Raw genomic sequence first — 18,445 nt, forward strand, 5'->3', positions numbered from 1 at the left:
CATAGTGTCCACAGAGAAATTGAGGAGGCTCTAGGACAATCTCCTGGAATAGATACGGTATTTGTTGCTGACTTTCACAGACCTGCAAAAGTGTGATAAATAGGTGGGCAGCCTGGGTTTGAGGCATTGGGGTGGGATGAACAGTTAGCCTAGATGGTTGACTTCTACATGGGAATCAACTCCTTCTCCTTTCTTAGACTTGCCTTTACATAATTGTGTTAGGACAATCTTCATTCTTCTTGTTTTCTCTAAGGTAGTGAGGGATAATAATTACCAGAAATTTTATTTTCTGACGAGAATGGAGATCTGAATTTATCAATCGTTATTCATTTTTCACTTTTTTTTTTTTCTGAGGCAACAACTTCACTCTTATTCTACATCCCTTTTGAGGAGATTCCTTCGAGAACTTTCCTTTCACTCACTCCAGGGGATGTTGCAGTCCTAAACAGAGACTTAGAAAAGTGGAGTTCCAGCCCCTTCTCCATTAATTACTGGCTGTGTGACATTGAGTATGTCACTTACCCTCTCTGGGCAGTTTGGCTCTGTTATCTTCGAGGGCTTCCCAGCTCTGCTACTCTGGGATTCCCTAAGTCTGTCTTCTTTATGGATTAATCTCTAAGCCACAATGACACCTCCCTCCAGAAATGTCATTCCAAATGTTCACTGGTGAGCAGGTGTCTGCCCACAGACCCTGCTCCCCAGATGCTACCGGCAATTTGGGAACTATATTTTTAAAATCACCACAGATGGGAAGACTAAATTGAAATGCAACTTGGTTGAAAACGCTGCTTTTAGCATTTTAGCCCCATCCTTCATCCTTCATTGCATTCAACTTTTCAGATAGCTGCCCCCAATAGCCCATGATCTTTTTGATTGCTCAACAAAGTCTCCTGGAAAAGAGCTTCTGATCACTGCTAGCTCTGTGGCCTCTCCTTACCATCCCATAATTCTTGTTCTAATCCATTTCAGGGCTATTGAAGTCCCATATGATCAATGTTATGGCCTCTTTAACTGACTCTGCTATTTGCATAAACATGGGCATATTTGCTTTTTCATCATGCCTTAGAGGTCTGTAACAGTGTCAATGATCTTTCCTACTGTCTTAATTCATTTTGTGCTGCTGTAACAGAATGCCAGAGACTAGGTAATTTATAAAGAATAGAGATTTATTTCTTACAATTCTGGAGGCTGGAAAGTCCAAGGTTGAGAGGCCTGCATCTGGTGAGGGCCTTCTTGCTGTGTCATCACATGGTGGAAGGTAGAAGGGCAAGAGAGTGCATATGTGCGTGACAGAAAAAGAGAGAGAAGTGGGGGTGGACTCACTTTTTAATCAGGAACCTACTCCTGCAATAACTAACTCTTGCAATAATGACATTAATTCATTCATGAGGGCAGAACTCTCCTGACCCAGTCACTTCTTAAAGGTTCCATTGCTCAACATTGTTGCACTGGAGATTAAGTTTCCAACACATGAACTCTGGGGGACACATTCAGACCACAGTACCTACCATATCAGGCAGTAACTTTAATTTAAGTTCTAGGCTGAGCATGTTCATTTGCATACATCATCTTTTTATCCACACAGTAATGCTCTTCCTGCATCTATATTGCTACTTTCCTTTCCCACATAAAATTTGGGAACTATATTTTAAAAATCACCACAGATGGGAAGATTGTTTCCTGAAAACAGTCTTTTTTTTTCAGATAATATCTCCAGAATTGGGATGATTTTTCACCTTAAGCCTGCCCCCGACTTGTTGAATGACATGCCGTCTGGGTGTAGTGCTTGTCCTGGGGAGCTAGTATTGTCCTGGGAGTAGCCTGTCAGTGGGCAGAGCCTCAGGCGGGCTGGATGGTGAGCTGTAAGACAGGTCAGGAGGCAGGTGAGGGCTGGGGTGCAGGCATGGGATGGGATGCAGGTGTGAACAGCTTAAGAGCCAGGGCAGATGGGGTCAAGGCAGAAAGGGCTAGCTGGGAACTGGGAACGAGGAGGTGAATGGAGAAAGTCAGAATCAAGGGTGTTGGTAGCCAGGTTGAATCCAGAAGGTGAAGGCCTGGAACCAAGGCCAGCTACACCCAGTGCTGTATTGGGAACCCAGGCAACATGATAGCCTGGGACCAAGGAGAGAATTCTGGGGGTCTTGTATGCGACTGTGGAGACAAATTGTCAGAGTTTAAATCCTGGCTCTGCTCCTTATAGCTGAATGTCTGGGAGAAAATTATCTAAATTCTCTGTGCCTTGGTCTCCTCATCCGTAAATTGGATGACTATAATAGTGCCTTTCTTGTAGGATTGTTTAAGTGAGTTAAGACATGTAAGGTTCTTAGAAGTAGTACTTAGCCCATACTGGCATCAGATTCAGCTATTTTCTTTTAAAAACTGACCATTAGATCACTTTGCACATGGAGGATTCTGCCTCAAGAGGATGTTGCAGGCTCTGAGCAGCTTCTGATGCTGCTGTACGGGAGTGTATACCAACTCAGGGAAGGCCTGGCCTTGGTTAGCATGGTGCTGTGGTCCCAGTTCTTGCTGCTGCCATATGTTTGTTAGTGGGATAATTGAGCAACTGTCCATTTTTATTTTTAAGTTCTGATGGAAACGTGGAAATAAAAACACAGTATATTTCTGCAATAACCAGAGTGTGGGCTTTTGTGTTATCAGTCCTGAGTTCAAATCCCCTCTCTTCTATTCATTCATCATATGACATTTAGTAAGTTTTCACCTTTTTGAGTCTTGGTTTTCTTATCTACACAATGGAGATACCAACATGTATCTCACAGAATGAATTTGAGGTCCAAGATAAAGTCTGTAAAGCATCTGGCTTAATACTTCCTTTCTTCTGAAACAACTCCCATGTTGGCTGGGGCTATAGTCTCACCTGATGGTGCCACTGGAGAAGGATCCACTTCCAAGTTCACTCACATCGCTGTTGGCAGGATTCAGTTCCTCATGGGCCGGTAGGCTGAGAGTTCTTGGCTGGCTGGGGTCATTCTCCATTCTTTGCCATGTGGGTCCCTTCATAGGGCAGCTTACAACATGGCAGCTTGGCTTCCCTCAGGGTGAGCAAGATGGAAACCAGAGTCATTTTGTAACCTAATATTGGAAGTGATATCCCATCATTATTCATCAGCATCCCTCACTCAAGGTAGAGGGGATTTTACAAGAACGTGAACACCAGGACAGGGCATCACTGGGGCCATTTTGGAGGCTGCCATCACATTCTGAAACCTGTTTTCCCACACACATGTCCCAATACTTCTCTCTCCAAAGGCACCATTAGCCATAACCTCTGAGGCATTTGTCACTTCATCCCATCCCCTCCCTCAACCAGAGCCAAACTCCAAAGGCACTGAGTCTTTCAATCTTTGAGCAAGAAAATTATCTTAATAAGGGCTCTCAATATTCTATTTCTTATGTGAAGATTCTCTTTGTTCTTCCTAGAGCCCTCTAAAGTTTTGATTTCTTTAAACAGAGAAAGGGAAGCTTTTTTCTCTACCCATTCCCAAGAAAATGTAGAAGCCAAATTCTGTTTTAAATGTGTGACTTACTACTTGATATTTGACCTCTTCCTTCATCTTGTATTCAAGAAACTTGTAATTTCAGTAATGTTAAAGAGTCATGTCCTCTGACCTGACCCCAACGGGAGGGTGGCCCTACCATCCACTGCAAAGCTGAAACACATCTGACTAGGGTTTGCAGATTTCTTCTGCCAGGACTCACACTGGGCTCCAGCAGCAGTCAGGCTGAGAAGAAAAGAGTAAGAGATGCTGAGATGGAACAGCTGATAGCAAAGTGGGGACCAGTCTTAAGGAGAAGCAGAGAGTGGTGGGATGCAGTTAGACATAGGATGTCTGTAAACAATTAGACTTGGGACTCAGCGAGGAATCCTAGAGCTAACGATGTGTGTCATAATCCTAAATAAAAGGCAGTGGTCAGAGTTCAAAAGAAGTCAGAGGCAGTGGTAAAATAGCAGCTGGAATAATCCTGGAGACTTAATAAAGTACTGAGAGATAGGTGCTAGGATTAATGGGCAGCATGGGGCTCAGAGAGGTATAGCAATTTGCTTAAAGTCACACAGCCCAAAAGTGGCAGAGGTGAACATTGAAGGCAGGTCTGTCTGCCTCCAAATCTCACTGTCTCTGCAGTCTACCATACTGCTGCCTAGATGACTTCTTTGTCGTCTTCTTTTTTTAGACAGAGTCTCACTCTGTCACCCAGGCTGGAGTGCAGTAACATGATCATGAACCACTGTAGCCTCGACCTCCGAGGCTCAGGGGATCCTCCCACCTCAGCCTCCTGAGTAGCTGGGACCGCAGGTGGATACTACCACCCCCAAGTGATTTTTGTAGAGACAAGGTCTTGCCGTGTTGCCTAGGCTGGTCTCGATCTCCTAGACTGAAAAGATCCTCCTGCCTCTGCCTCACAAAGTGCTGGGATTACAGGCGGGAGCCACTGTGCCCGGCCTGCCTAGGCTTCTGACTATTGGTTGACCTCCCCAGCCTCCACTACAGATCCTGACTCCTTTCTGACCTCCTTGATGGGTTCCAGGCTAGCTGATGCCCAGGACAAGGAAGTGGCAAGGACTGATGGACAATGGGTGGAAGAGCAGCAGAAGACGAGCTTCATAGAAAACTATTTGCACGACCTCAGAGGTGTCCTCTGCCCAGGCTGGGGCCTCCCTCAGTCCTCAGAGATGCTGGGAGAGCCCAGAACCTTAGCGTGGTGGAGCCTGGCTGAGCCTGGTTGGGTCCTAATCCGCTTCCTACTGGTTGACGCCACGGCCGCAGATGCTGACTACGATGTCTGCAGGCAGGACCCAGCTAGGTGGGTCCGCCTTGCTGGCTGTGCGCTGCCTTCTCACTAGGGCCTGGAGTCTCCCTCGGCTTCCTCCCTGGGCCTCTCGCACCTGAATTCTCCCCTCCGGATGGTTGGCTGTAGTTGCAGCACTGTGCCTGCAGGGGGCGTGAGGTGTGCTGCCCGGGTTCCCCTGGGGTCCCTACCCGTCCAAGAAGAAACACAGTCCTCAGGCTGCTGACAGCTCTGAGCTGAGTCTGTCTCCAGAGATTGCCCTCAGATGAGCTCTCAGCTGAGTCTGTCGCCAGGGATTGCTCTCAGATGCCGAGAGCCACCTCGCCCGTCACATCCCCTTCCCAGGGGCTGTGCATCCAATGTCGAGTCAGTGCGGGGGATTAGAGGGCCGGGGTCCTCGCCCTACCTCAGTGCATCTCTGCAGGGCCGTACCAGCTCCCAAGCTTCCCTGCAGGATTGCGGAGGTCTTCGCTGCTTCTGCATCACTGTTTAGCATCTCCTTCTGTCCCATCCTATGCCTCTCACTACTCCCACGGGCGTGGAGTCTGAGAGCACTTCCTGATAAACACCGCACACACCGTTTCCGTTTCAGAGGTGCTTCCGGAAGAGGGACCTGCAACAACTCCTATCTGCTGTCTTGGGTTAACAACGTGGGATCCTTCCTGCCACAAGTCCTGTCCTGAGCCCTAGCTTAGCCAGGCCTCGTGTGCACCACATTCCCTAACCCCCTCCCCTGGGCTGGGTCCACGGCTCTGCCCCTGAGAGGGGGAATCAGGCAAGTCCAACCCCTCCAGGGTCCAGCCGTGAAAGATCCAAGGCAAGGCACTTGGCCACCATCACATAGCAAGGCCGTGGCCCGGAGTTCTCCTCTTCTGCATCCCGACATTTCTACTATGCTCTATGGCTTTTCTCTTTAACAAATATAATCCAGTCCGACAACCTTTCTTGATCTGGTACCCCTGCCCCTAGTATTCTTATTTTAGAGTTCTCAGCTTTCCCATCACCAGGGATATCTTTTGTGTTATTTCTCCATGCTCTGGAAAATCCTATCTGCCATATACCCTTCATTTGCAGATAATAATAAATTTGTTTTCATACTTTTATCATCAAAACCATATGTAACTGCCAATCAGAGCTTCGGATCCATAAGAGATAATCACAGTTTGTATAAATATTGAATTGATATAAATTGATGCTTGTTGCTTCATTTAGTTTGGCAGTGGTAGTGGGGTGGTTATTGAGAAAAACATGCGCAGTTTCCACGAGGAACTTCATTTGAAAATAGCACATAGACATCTGTGACTGTTTCAACTGCAGAGATAAAACAGGGCCTTGACTCCCCTACTCTACAGCATGAAGCTCCCGGAGCCCCCTGCTGGAAGGTGCATAAAGGCAACTTTCCTCTACCAGACACTGAAACCACCATCCCTGGGCTCTTGGTGCCATGGAAGCCTTGCGTGCTGGACTGGATGCCTTCTCGTCCACCATCCCTGGGCTCTCGGTGCCACGGAAATCTTGGATGAGGGTCTGGATGCCTTCTGGTTTAAGGGGAAACTGGGCAGGGCTCTCTGTCCCTGCCCCCACCATTAGCGCCCCTCCATTCTTTCGATTTTTGAAGTTAATACACTGGGGCAGAGAGAAAGTGGGCACCACTTAAACTGTGATTAGCCATTTATCCCTTAGTTGCCAGCTAAGCCCTTTGTAGAGTTTCCTGACAGCTCCTTAAAGCCAGATGATTTGGGGTCCCAGCAAAGCTTTTCAGTGGTAGTTAGAGCTCCAAGGTGGATTGAGAATGGCTCCTGGTTTCTCCAGGTCCTGTGTTTGTAGGCATGACATGTCCAGGTGTAGGGGTGGGTGTCTATGGCAGCTCTGCTCAGCACACCATCGCCGGCCCAGAAGCACTGACATCACACATCACAGAGCTGCCCTCAGCTGGCGAGCAGGGCCTGGGTGTGAGGTGGAGATCCTGGGCTCTCCCAAACATGCACCATAGAGCACCAGCTTCAGGTCTCATGGCAGCCTAATCTTTACCCAGCTTGCCTCCAAGATCCTGTTGGCAGGAGTGTGCACCAAACGAGGGGCAGAAAAATGATCTACATAGAGATGGAGGAGACAGAGCTGCCCAGGGAGCCCTGCCTTGTCTCAGCTGCAGCCTGGTGTGCTGAGGTCTCTTCCTACCCAACCTTCTGTAGACTTCTTTCTGTTCTCCCCTAAGTCACTCACACTCTGGAATCTTCCCAATGGACCTTGAGCATCATGAGGAGGCCAGACCTTGCAGGAGGGGGACCATGTGCCACAGAGCTGACCTGTCATTCCTTAGAGAGATGTGAGATGAAATTGTCCATGCCTGCCCCAGGGATCCTGTATGGGGGCGGGCGGTGGGGGGGGGGAGGCTGCACATGCCTATGCCAGAAACCAGATTATCAATTTCTTTTTCTGACAAAATGTTAGTCCATGGAAGATAAATTCTGCCTTCTGGCATATTATGTATATAATAATATATAATATGTACATACATATTTTTTATATGTGTGCATTTCAATTACTTAATTTTTAATGGGAATCATGAGATATGTATGATCTTTTCAAATAAGGCTTAAATTAAAATACTTTAAAGGTTTTAATTTAATGATAGGGACTAGGAAACTTGAACAAGGATTTAGGTTAAGAAAGTTGATGGAGCTGTTTTGAGACAAGTCATTGAGTGTACCAAAAAAGATAAATCGAGTTAAAAATATACTTGCCTTTAAAGAAATACCACAGAAAAGCACCAGTTTATTTCTAGATAATCTGGTCTGGGATGCCCAATTATTTAAACAAAAGGTAACATATCATAAGAGAAAAACACAAATAAATAAAATATAATAATTATAAATAAAACAAAACCCTCTAGGAAAATGGCTGATTCGAACAATTGTCAAAGCATCTTCAGACTGAGCTTATCGCGTGCATTTTTTTTCAGCAATTGAAAATGAGGTCAGGCTCCAGTGAGCCCAGAGACCTGGTTTTAGGGATGCACCTCCACCTATCAAACCCTGAGTGCTATACCTTCATGCCTCTAATTGTTTGGGTTTCTTCCAGTCCCAAAGGCAGTCATTCAAATATCTCTTTGACTTTTTAAGCCTTCCTGATTTCCAGAAGCTCAAGCACTGTATCTCTTTTCATGCCCAGAACCTGAAACTGCCTTTAACAGATTCTCTTTATTTTCTTTAAACTCCTAAAAATATTATTCCTGGTCAAGCAGCAATACTGTGCCCTCCTTCAAGCCAATGTGCAGGGGCAAGGGCACCCCAGGAGATGCTGGAGGAGTGGTTGCTTTTGACCTATGGAAGATGACTACCTGTAGCTGTGGGATTAGGATCCAGTAGGGTCATGATCACAGGGCCCAAAGAAAGGGACCCCCGGCCTTGAGCTCATAGCTTCTCACAATTTTAACTCATTACCACTGCAGCATCAAGGTTAGTATAAGGAGGTCAGTAAGGGGCCATTCTTCTCTTAAAACCTCAAGATTGTTTGCTAAACTTCTGCATGTTAAACCCTACTGGTTGTGGGTGGTATCCTCAGGTGACTCCCACAGATAGCTTAAACCCATTCTTCTTTGTAAAGTTTTGTGCTTTGTGTGTGTATGAGTGTGTGTATGTGTGTGTGGGCTATGGAGGTTGCTAACTGGCGGCCACCTTGCTGCCCTGGACATGGCTGATTGGATCAGGCCCTTTGTGTTGGACGAGAGGGAAGCCAGTCCCCACTAAACTGTATTGATGTGAAACCTATTAGCCTGACATTCAGTAAGAATGATCTGTATTGCATAACAATGAACAAAGTCAATCGAATCCTCACTTTTGGAAAGAGCAAATGCAAGGTATACACAATGGAGCAGGGTTTGCTTGAATTCAAGTTGCATCCTGAATGAATATGAACTATAGTTCTGGTTCCCTGTGAGAAGCCCTGGATAGTTAGGATGATGGCATCCCATGGTTCCAGCTGTAATAGCTTCCTATTGCTGCTGAAACACATGGCCACAGACTTGGTGGCTGAAAACAACACTAACATATTCTCTTACTGTTTTAGAGGTCAGAAGTCTAAAATCAAGGTGTCTGTGGGGCTGCTCTCATTCTGGAGGCTTTGGAGGACAATCTGGTTCCCTGCCTTTTTCAGCTTCTAGAGGACACCTGTGTTCCTTAGCCTGTGACCCTTTCCTCACGTCACTCCAACCTCTTGCCTCCATCACCACCTTCTTGTTTCTGTGGTCACATCTATTACTGTCTTTGACCCTGCCTCCTTCTTGAAAGGATCCTTGTGATTACATTGAGTCCATCAGGATAACAGGATACTCTCCCCATTTCAAGATCCTAATCACATCAGCAAAGTCCCTTTTGCCATATAAGGTAACATATTCACAGTGATAGCGATAGGAGGCAGCCAAATGCCTAGGCTGATAGGGGCAGGTCCCTGATGAAACCCCACTTTCAAGCCAAAAACAGCCTGAAGGCTGAAAGACTGGGCTGCTGGTCTCAGATGAAACCTGTGACCCACAGTAAGAACTTCTGTTCCTGTTTGCCTGCCCTTTCCTGACAGATTCTTTCTGAATAATGCCTTTTAACAAATTGAATGTTGCCTTTTCCAAGACTACCTATGGCCTGCCCCTTCCCCATTCTAAGCCCATAAGAAGCCCCCAACTCAGCCATATTAAGAAGACTTTCCTGCCTTTGGGTAGGGAGACCACCCCCGTGTCCCCTTTCCACTGAAAGCTGTTTCATCACTCAATAAATATCCCCATCTTGCTCACTCCTCAATTGTCAGCACATCCTCATTCTTCTTGGGTACAGGACAACAACTCAGGAACTGGTGTGCAAGCCAGACTACCTGGGCGGGCTGAGTGGGTGAGCCATCTCCTGCAGCAGGCAGTGTGGCTGAGTGAGGCCTAGGTGGGGCGTTGCCAACTGGAGGTCCTGGCTTGCAAAGTGACCAAGAGGAAAATCCTGCGTCAACAGCTTCTGAATTAGGATATGGAAGTCTTTGGCAGGGGGTAGGGGGGTCATTACTCAGGCTGACCATATGTGTTTTGCTATAAATTCTTGCAATAAGCCTGCATTTCTGATGGTAAGCATCTATCCAATTCTACGCTATTTGTGCTTCAATATATGTCCTGTGCACATCTCCTGTAAGGGACAGTCCATGTATTACATGAACAGACCCTCCTTGGCAATAGTTGGTAAATGGTCAATCTAATTTCTGGTTAATGACCTACTGAGTAATGACCCATTGACTTGCCATTTGCCAGTGACCCACTGGCTTGCCAATCATCAATCAGGTTCTGAAGAATCTGGATGTAGTGACACAGGCCTGTAGCCAATTGATGGTAGGCTCTTTAGACTAGGAGTGATCTAGAGTCAGGATTAGGAAAGCCATCCCATTAGAGAGCTGTGTACAATATTTGTAAGCAGAGGAAGCTGATTGATCAAGAGAAGCATGAAATAGAAATAGAATTAGAGAGCCCCTGTGGCCTTTGAGAGACTGAGATGACTAGATGCAAACCCTGCAGGGACTGGCTGTGCTTCCTTCCCTGCCCCTTTCATCTAAGGTCTTTCTGTGTCATTGTGATAACCTTCATCTCTGTGTTTTAGCCAGTCAGAGAGGAATTTGATTCTTTGCAAAGCAAACAGCTTCAAATAGAATATTCTTTTATTCCTTCACACGGAGACGGTAACTTACAAGACCCTTTAAAGCACAGATCCTCTGTTCAGCAGAAGTCTTCCAAAATGTCAGAAGACCAATGAAGAGAAGGTGGGATAGTTCCCCTGGGGTCCCCTTATATCCAGGGGCTTCAATTCCTATGCCCTGGTGGCTCTCATTTCCCACAGCTAGAACTACTGAAACTCTAAGGGCAGACCTGGCTTCTCCATCACTGATCAAGACAAGGAGTCACTTGACAATTTTCTCAGGGTTGAGTCACTGAAGAAAAACAACAACAACAAAACCCAAAAAACCACTCTCACATTCCTACACTCACCATGTTATCTCAGCCCAAAAGTCCAGACTTCTGCCTCACTCTCCCTGTGCTCAACTCTAGGTCAACCAGAACCATCTTCCTGGAGTGCCTTCTGCTGTCTGGACTCCCATTGCTGCAGCCCACCAGGTTCTAGCATCTTTCTAGCCATGCCTGGGCTTACCATGGCCTCTGGACATTGTGACTTGCACCTCTCAACCTCCTGGCAGGCTCCTCACTATCATGCCCCTGTTCTGCCAGGATGGGGGCTTCCTCTTGTTCCCCACCAGTAGCTATGAGTGTGAACTCCACTGCCTCACTCTCTTTGTAGTCCCTACCTGCCTGAGGATGACCCTTCAGAAAACACCTGTGAATGGACTAACGAACTGATTTTTGTTTAGCAGCATGCGTTTGTGCAGTGAAGTATTAATGGGGTCTGTGCTGCCTCCAGTGCCTTAGTTATCAGGGAAAAATTGAAGAAGACCTGAAACTGCTGAGGATTCAGCTGGCGATTTAATTTTCCCTAATTTTTCTACCTCTGGGGAAACAGGCAAATTAATGAGAAGCCACACCTCTCAACTTGGCTGCAACATATGAGCGGTTGTCCAGGGAATGCAGGTGTATGAGCTCAGCCACTGTGTCTTGTGGTACAGGGTCACTGAGGGTCCTGGGGCAGTTGTTCCCATTCTCCCTGCAGCTGGGCCCCAGGATCCAGGGCACATGGAGGGGAAACCCCTCCTGCATTCCTGGGGTGAGAGAGTCTGCCCGTTAGATCACCCCGCCAGCTTCAGTGTTTTTATTTCTTTCCCTCTTGTTGCTGCTTCTACTATGGAACTGATGTTGCTTCTCCATAACTACTGGGGGTGCCAGACAAGACCTGGGTGTGGAGAGAAGATCCCAAGGGACAATATGTTGGATTCCTGAGCCCAGCACATAGCACCAAGAGCTCCGCAGTTGGCCCTGCAGGCCGACAGCTCTAAGTCCCAGCTCCAGTCCTGTTGGTGAGGAGACCCGAGCAAGTCACTTATTCTTTCTGGCCCTCAGCTGATTGCTCTAGGTCCTGTGAGCTCTCAGGGTGCTTGCAGCCCTAATAATCTGTATTTTATTTGTTTTTCAAAGCATTGTGTAGCCTTCTGCGTTAAAGAGACTTGCAACTTCTATGGATTTTGCCACCAGACTTTCTGGTGAGGAAAATGTTTTGGAGAGAAGCCACATCTTTTCCTTCTGTTCTGAGGATGTTAACAAAGCAAGTCTTAAACATCATTACAAAGAGGCTTCCTTCCAGTTTCCTTCAGGGTCCTTCCTCCTTGGATTTGGAAAGAGTTTTATCCTCCCTTCGTCTCTCCTCCTGTCTTCTGGTATTCCCTCTGTCCCCCTCTTGGCAGCAGCGCCACATGCATCAGAGGGTGGGTGTTTCCTGCTTGTCCGTCAGCTTGGCCATGTGGCCCACATGTGGTATTGCAGGACATTCGACTCATTAAAAAGTCTTCATAAAGTTCCTGGACTCTTGATCTGGGAGGGAACAGGTTTCAGCCCTAGGCAGGCTGCTGGCTCCAACAGCTTCTCCTACCAGGTAACTGCTTCTGATTTCTCCAAGCAAAAATATAGAGCTATCCCCAAGGATCCCCCAACCCGTTAATACATTATTTTAGTGCTTCCCAAACTGGAGTTCAGAAAAAACTGTTCTTGTCTGGAGGATGTTAGCTGATATGCCAAAACATAAAATCTTCCACTTAAATCTATTCTTTTTTATTTAACCATGAAACAAAGTTAGTCATACATTTCTGCTCCAGAATTTCTCAGAACCTTTAAAATAACTCATTAGTGTGTCCTGGGAGTCTTCTGAAATGGGGATTAGTCTGTTGCACTTGCCAAGTTTATTTGGTCTTGGGACACTTTGTTTCTAGAGCTCTGATTAACATCTCCCTCAAATAGTGTTTAGTGAAACACATTTAGGAAAATGTTTTTCCATTATAAGATTTATCACACTGTATTGCAATGATTTATTCACATGTCTGCCTTCCTCACCAGGCTGCTATTTCCTAAAGGGCAAGAAATGTATTTTACTCATCTCTTTGTCTCTAGCACCTAGCACAGTGCTTTGTAGAGTTGGTCCCCTATGGAGCTCTTGCCAGGGTCACCAACAGCCCGGTCTCTGTTCTCGTCTTACACAAATTCCCAGCAGCGATGCACTGAGTTTGGCACTCCTTCCTAACCCTTTTCTCTTGGCTCCAGTGACACCACACTCTCCTGGTACTCTTCCACAACACTCAGGACTCCTTTGCAGTCCTTCTATTGAATCCTTCTCCCTCATCTGTTATGGAAATATCGAAGTGCCCAGGGCTCTATTTTTGGACAGTTCTGATGCTATGGCTACACTCTTTCCCCAGATGACCTCAAGCAGATCCATGGCATAAGAGACTTTCTATAGGCTGGTGATTATCATGCTTATGTTTCTAGACATGGCCTTTGAGTCGGACTCTTGTCTCACTACCTATTTGATATCTTCTCCTAGATGTTAATGTTTAACAAATCCACAACAAAGCTTTTGATTTACCCAGCAAACCTGTTCATCCTCCAGTCCTTCCTACATTAGTAAATAGCATTATCATCCACCCAGGGGCTTGCTTGTATCTAAACTCTAAAACACATTTGTCTTATTCTGTTTAGTATTGCTCTAAAGGAACACCTGAGGCTGGATAATTTGTGAAGAAAAAAGGTTTCTTTGGCTCATGGCTCTGCAGGCTGTACAGGAAGCATGGTGCCAGCATCTGCTTCTGGTGAGGGCTTCAGGCTGCTTCCACTCGTGATGGAAGGTAAGTGGAGCCAGCCTGTGCAGAGATCACATGGTGAAAGAGGAAGTAAGAGAGCGAGCCAGTGCCAGGCTGTTTTTAACATCCAGCTTTCATGGGAACTAATAGAGGACTCATTCATTACTGCCAGGACAGCACCAAGCTATTCATGAGGGATCTGCCCCCAAGACTCACATACCACCCATTAGGCCCCACCTCCAACATTGGGGATTCAATTTCAATGTGAGGTTTAGGGGACAAGCATCCAAGCTATAGCATCCTCCCAATTCTTTATCTTCCCTTTCAATGCACTGGCACATTCCACTAATACTATTTCTGTGATCACTGAGATTATTGTTTGCCAGATACTCACCCTCTTCCCCATCTCTCTGCAGAACATACTTTCCCACCCAATTGATTGTGAACCTGTTTAGGTGACTTGCTTTGGCCACTGGGATGTTAGCAGATGTGTCCAGAGCTGAATGTGTTTGGGAAGTGTGGTTTGGCATTGCATCCTGTGTCAGTTATCAACATATTACCTCTCGGCTACAATTCACCCTTTGTTGCTCCATCTGTGGAAATATCTAAAGGCCCTTTATGTCTTTTTCCTTTGCCAGCTGGGATAGTGTTCAACTTTGTTGTTGAGGGCCCTGGATGTGCTCCATCCCCTCTGCACACCTGCCCACCAGCCTGGGATGTCCTGCTCCCCAGAGGGTGGTTCTACGTGCCTGAGGGCCATGGAACAGCTCTGGGTTAGGAACCCAAGAGAACTTCTCGGCCATCGTATTTCTCTTGGACTATTCTGATAGCCTGTGAACTGGTCTCCTTTCTTCCATTCTTGCTACCCTGCAATAAATCCTGATCCCAACTGGTTAGTGATGTTTCAGTCATCATACATAAAGTTTTCATATATATCACGTTCTGATTCAGACTAATTTAGCTATTCTAGCATATTGATTCGTCTATTTGATTTTAGGTCCTTAACACAATATTTTCATTATGATATCTTTATAAAATATTTTTGTATCTGGTCCTCCTCACTGCTCTTCAACACACTTTTTCAGTGATTCTTTCCAGATGAATTTTAGAATCATTTTGTCATGTTCCCCAGATAACTCCAATATTATAAGTTCATTTGGGAAAATTAACATCTTTATGTTATTGAGTTTCTCCATATAAGGTATTTACACATTTATATTTAGTTAACTTCTTTTATATCCTCAATGAAACATTGTGATTTTCATTATCTAGGCCTTGCACTTTCTCTTTCTCTTTTATTTTCTCTTCTAGGCATTTAAGTCTTTGCTGTTACTGTGTGTGGGATTCTTTTCTCTTATATTCTTTAAATAATTACTGTTAGTATATTAAAAAGTTATTGATTTTTGCATGTTTACTCTGTAATGAATCACCTTATTGAATTCTTATTAATTCTATGTGTGTTCAATAGATTCTCTTGAGTTTCTTGGATACAAAACCATATTGACTATAAATAATGATAGTTTTTCTCTTCCTTTCCAATAACTATACAACTTACTTATGTTTTGTATCTCATTATGTCAACCAGAACTTCTATAATGATGTTAAATAATAATAGTGTTCCAGAAAATTTTTACATTCCCATGCAAAAAAAAATGAACATTGACACTTTTCTCATTCTATGTAAGCAAATTAAAATGAATCATAGACTAAATGTGGGAGCTAAAACTATAAAGCTTTTATAAGAAAGTGTAAGATAAAAAAATCTTTGTGTCCTTGGGTTAGGTAACATGTTTTGTAGATATGACACAAAAAGCATAAATCATGAAAGAATGATAAATCGAATGAAATTGAAACATTGATATATTGAATTTTATCAAAATGGAAACTTTGGCTTTTTGAAAGACACTTTTAAGAAAATGAAAAGACAAGCCACAGACTGGAAGAAACTATTTTCAAAACACAAATTTGACAAAGAACTTGTATTCAGGATATATAAGGAATCCTTACAACACAGTAAAAGGAAGACAAACAGCCAAATAAATAAATAAGTGAACAGTTTAAACATATACTTCACCAAAAAAAAAAAGATGTATTGGTGGGAAGTAGACACATGAGAAGATGCTCAAAATCATCAATCATTAGAAAAATAAAAATTAATGTCAAACCAAGATATCACTGTACATCCACTAGATGGTTAAAATTTAAAAACTGATAATAGCAAGTGCTGATGAGGATTCAGAACAACTGTAACTCACATGAAGTGTTGGTGGGAATGCAAAACAGCACAGCCACTTTAGAAAACAATTTGATAGTTTTTTATAAAGTTAAACGTTTATTTAATATGACCCAGCATTCCTACTTTTAGATATTTACCCAAGAAAAAAATTTGTATACACAAATGTTTATAGCAGATTTATTGATAATAATCCCAAACTGAAAGCAATACAAATATTCATCAATCATGGAATAGATAAACAAATTTTGGAATATTTATACAATGAAATATCATTCATGCAACAACATGGATGAATCTCAAAAAACAGTTTGCTGAGTGAAAGAAGCAGGACTCAGAAGGCTACCATCTGACTTTATTTATATGGCATTCTGGAGGAGGCCAAATTATAGAGATAGAAATCAGATCAGTGGTTTCCAGAGCTGGGGTGGAAGAGGACATTAACTATAAAGGAACTTGCGAGAAATTTTTGGGGTGATGGATGCTCTGTGTATTGAATATCATGGTGCTTCAACGATGGCATTTATTTGCTGAAATTATCAAATTGTACAGTTTAAGTGAATACATTTTATTGTGTGCAAATTGTACCTCAGTAAACCTGACTTTTAAAAAAGAAATATGCAGTCAACAAAAATTCTTGTTTTGTTCTTTGTTTTAATAGGAATGACATTATGTATTACTTCTGGCCACAGGTTTTAAAAAATAAGATGTTCTTTATTATGTTAAAGAAATAACCTTCTGTGTCTTTAAGATTTCTTAGTTGCCTGCAACAGAAACTGATTCTGGCTGATTTAAGCAAAAAAGAAATTTGTTGGCAGGATTCTGGATGGTTTAGAGAATCACCAGGAAGTCAGGAACAAAGAGTTCCTGGGCAGCTGGCACCACAGTGCAGATCATGACATGGAACACAGAGGAATGGCTGCTGCCATCTTTGACCATGGGATGCCACATCTCGAAACACCAACTCTGCTGGTCCCCAGAGCCCAGATACAGCTACTTGTGCTTCTATCACCGTGTCCCTGGAAACAGATGTTGCTGCTATTACTGGAACTGCCATAAAAGATTCTCTGCTGCCTGGCTTTTTTGCTCCCCAATCTGAGCTTATGATAAATGCCTCACTGTTGCTGCAAGGAGGGGGCCAATACCCAGGACAGTAAGCACTTGGCCTTTCTTCCATTTCTACCGTGAAAGATGGCTCTGCCTCCCACCCAAACTCAGAAAGCGGGGAATTTCCCAAACATTGGAAAACCTTCAGATGTGGAGTGCCCTCCCACTAAAAACATTCCCATCACTGTCCACTTGCATCATTTAGTCCTAGCATTTTAAAGAAGGTCCCCTTTAGGAACTGATTTTGAATCTTCATAAATGATTTTCCTGCTCCTCTTGAGATAATCATATGGTTTCTCTTATTTGACCCATTGATATGTTCTATAAACAGATTTACTAATATTAAAACAGCTTTGCATTCTTCGGTAAACCCTATTTGGCTGTGGTAAATTATTCTTTTAATATACTGTTGAATTCAATTTCCTGGCGTTTTGTCTAGAATTTGCACATTTATATTTATGAGTGAGGTTGGTCTAGTTTTATTTCATGCCGTCTCTTTGCCAGCCTCAGTGACATTCCGGGCCCTTCCTCCCAGGGATTTTGTGCCCCCCTGGTTGGGATTTGAGCCCTAAACTATTTTTCATAAACCACAGGCTTTACAGCAGCCCACGTGGCTCATCGAGTGTGAGGAAATTATAGGAACGGACACAGATATGGTGAGAAACTCTAGATGCCCGAGGCATCCCTTAAATCATTCTGGACATTTACTGAGGGCCTACCGTGTGCCAGCTGCTGAAATATTTAACCTGAAGCTTAAATAAGCTTCTCTATTGGTAGAATTCAGATGAATCATGAGAATCATCTGAAAATAGAGACTGCGAGAGGAGACGGGAAAGGCCATCTCATCTACCTGTGTCTTAAGGTTGGGGGCGGGGGTGGGGGTGGGAAACTGATGTCCAGAGAAGGGAAAAGACCTGTACCCGGAATATGATCCAGGTGTCCCTGACTCTGTCCCTTGCTCTTTCATAGACAGGACAGCCAAAAACAAACAAACAAACAAATGAACAAACAGAAAAGTTCCAGACTCTGGTGAAACACATGTTTCAGGCCCCTCAGCAAGAGTGGACAAGACAAACATCTTTACAAGGTTTGTATTTGTATGCTGTATGGTTAGATGCCAGGCCCCTTTCAAGATCCTCTGGCCTCAGGAAATTCTACAGACTTCTGCCAGCCTACACATCCTACATTAGTCCTGTCCAAAGATAAGACAGCATCAAATATAGCCTGAAACTTAAGCCAAGGCTTCTGGAGCCTGGCTGCAGACTACACGTATTAACTGTGTGATCTCAGATTGTAAAGTCTCAGTTTCTCATCTATAAAATGGGATAATAGGAGTGCTTAAAGTTAAACTAGTTCTAGGCTCAGATAAGCACTCATTTGTAAAGAACCTGCTCTGTGCCACGCCTGTGCCTGATAGTGAGACTACAGAGATAACAATGGTTCAAAATGATATGTTTTATTGTAGTGTATCTATATCTGCTCCAAATACATGACTTTTTGCTCATAGGAATGGCATCTTGAAAAAGTCCTATCTTTTAT

At 44.2% G+C, this 18,445-nt stretch overlaps 2 long non-coding RNA genes across 4 annotated transcripts in view; one reads left to right on the forward strand and one right to left on the reverse strand.

The window, feature by feature from the left end:
- The window catches only part of LINC02752 (long intergenic non-protein coding RNA 2752), a 68,227-nt gene that overhangs the window by 35,821 nt on the left and 13,961 nt on the right, over nt 1-18,445 (forward strand). The window contains exons 4-5 of one of the 2 annotated variants that reach the window (NR_187402.1): nt 16,618-16,952; nt 17,876-17,993. This is a non-coding gene — a long non-coding RNA (long intergenic non-protein coding RNA 2752). Of the gene's footprint in view, nt 1-16,617; nt 17,282-17,875; nt 17,994-18,445 lie in introns of those variants that run through there. The other variant, NR_187401.1, reaches the window with a different exon arrangement.
- On the reverse strand, nt 1,596-5,356 carry LOC105376548 (uncharacterized). 2 transcript variants are annotated; one of them, XR_007062592.1, is made up of 3 exons: nt 5,216-5,356; nt 2,879-3,048; nt 1,596-1,860 (listed from the first exon to the last, which is right to left on the reverse strand). It is a non-coding gene; the product is annotated as an uncharacterized LOC105376548 (long non-coding RNA). The 2 variants fall into 2 exon arrangements; XR_001748126.3 differs by having other exon boundaries at nt 2,879-3,053.

The sequence above is a fragment of the Homo sapiens genome, chromosome 11 (assembly GCF_000001405.40).
Source record: "Homo sapiens chromosome 11, GRCh38.p14 Primary Assembly".
In the NCBI taxonomy this organism is placed as follows: Eukaryota; Metazoa; Chordata; class Mammalia; order Primates; family Hominidae; genus Homo; species Homo sapiens.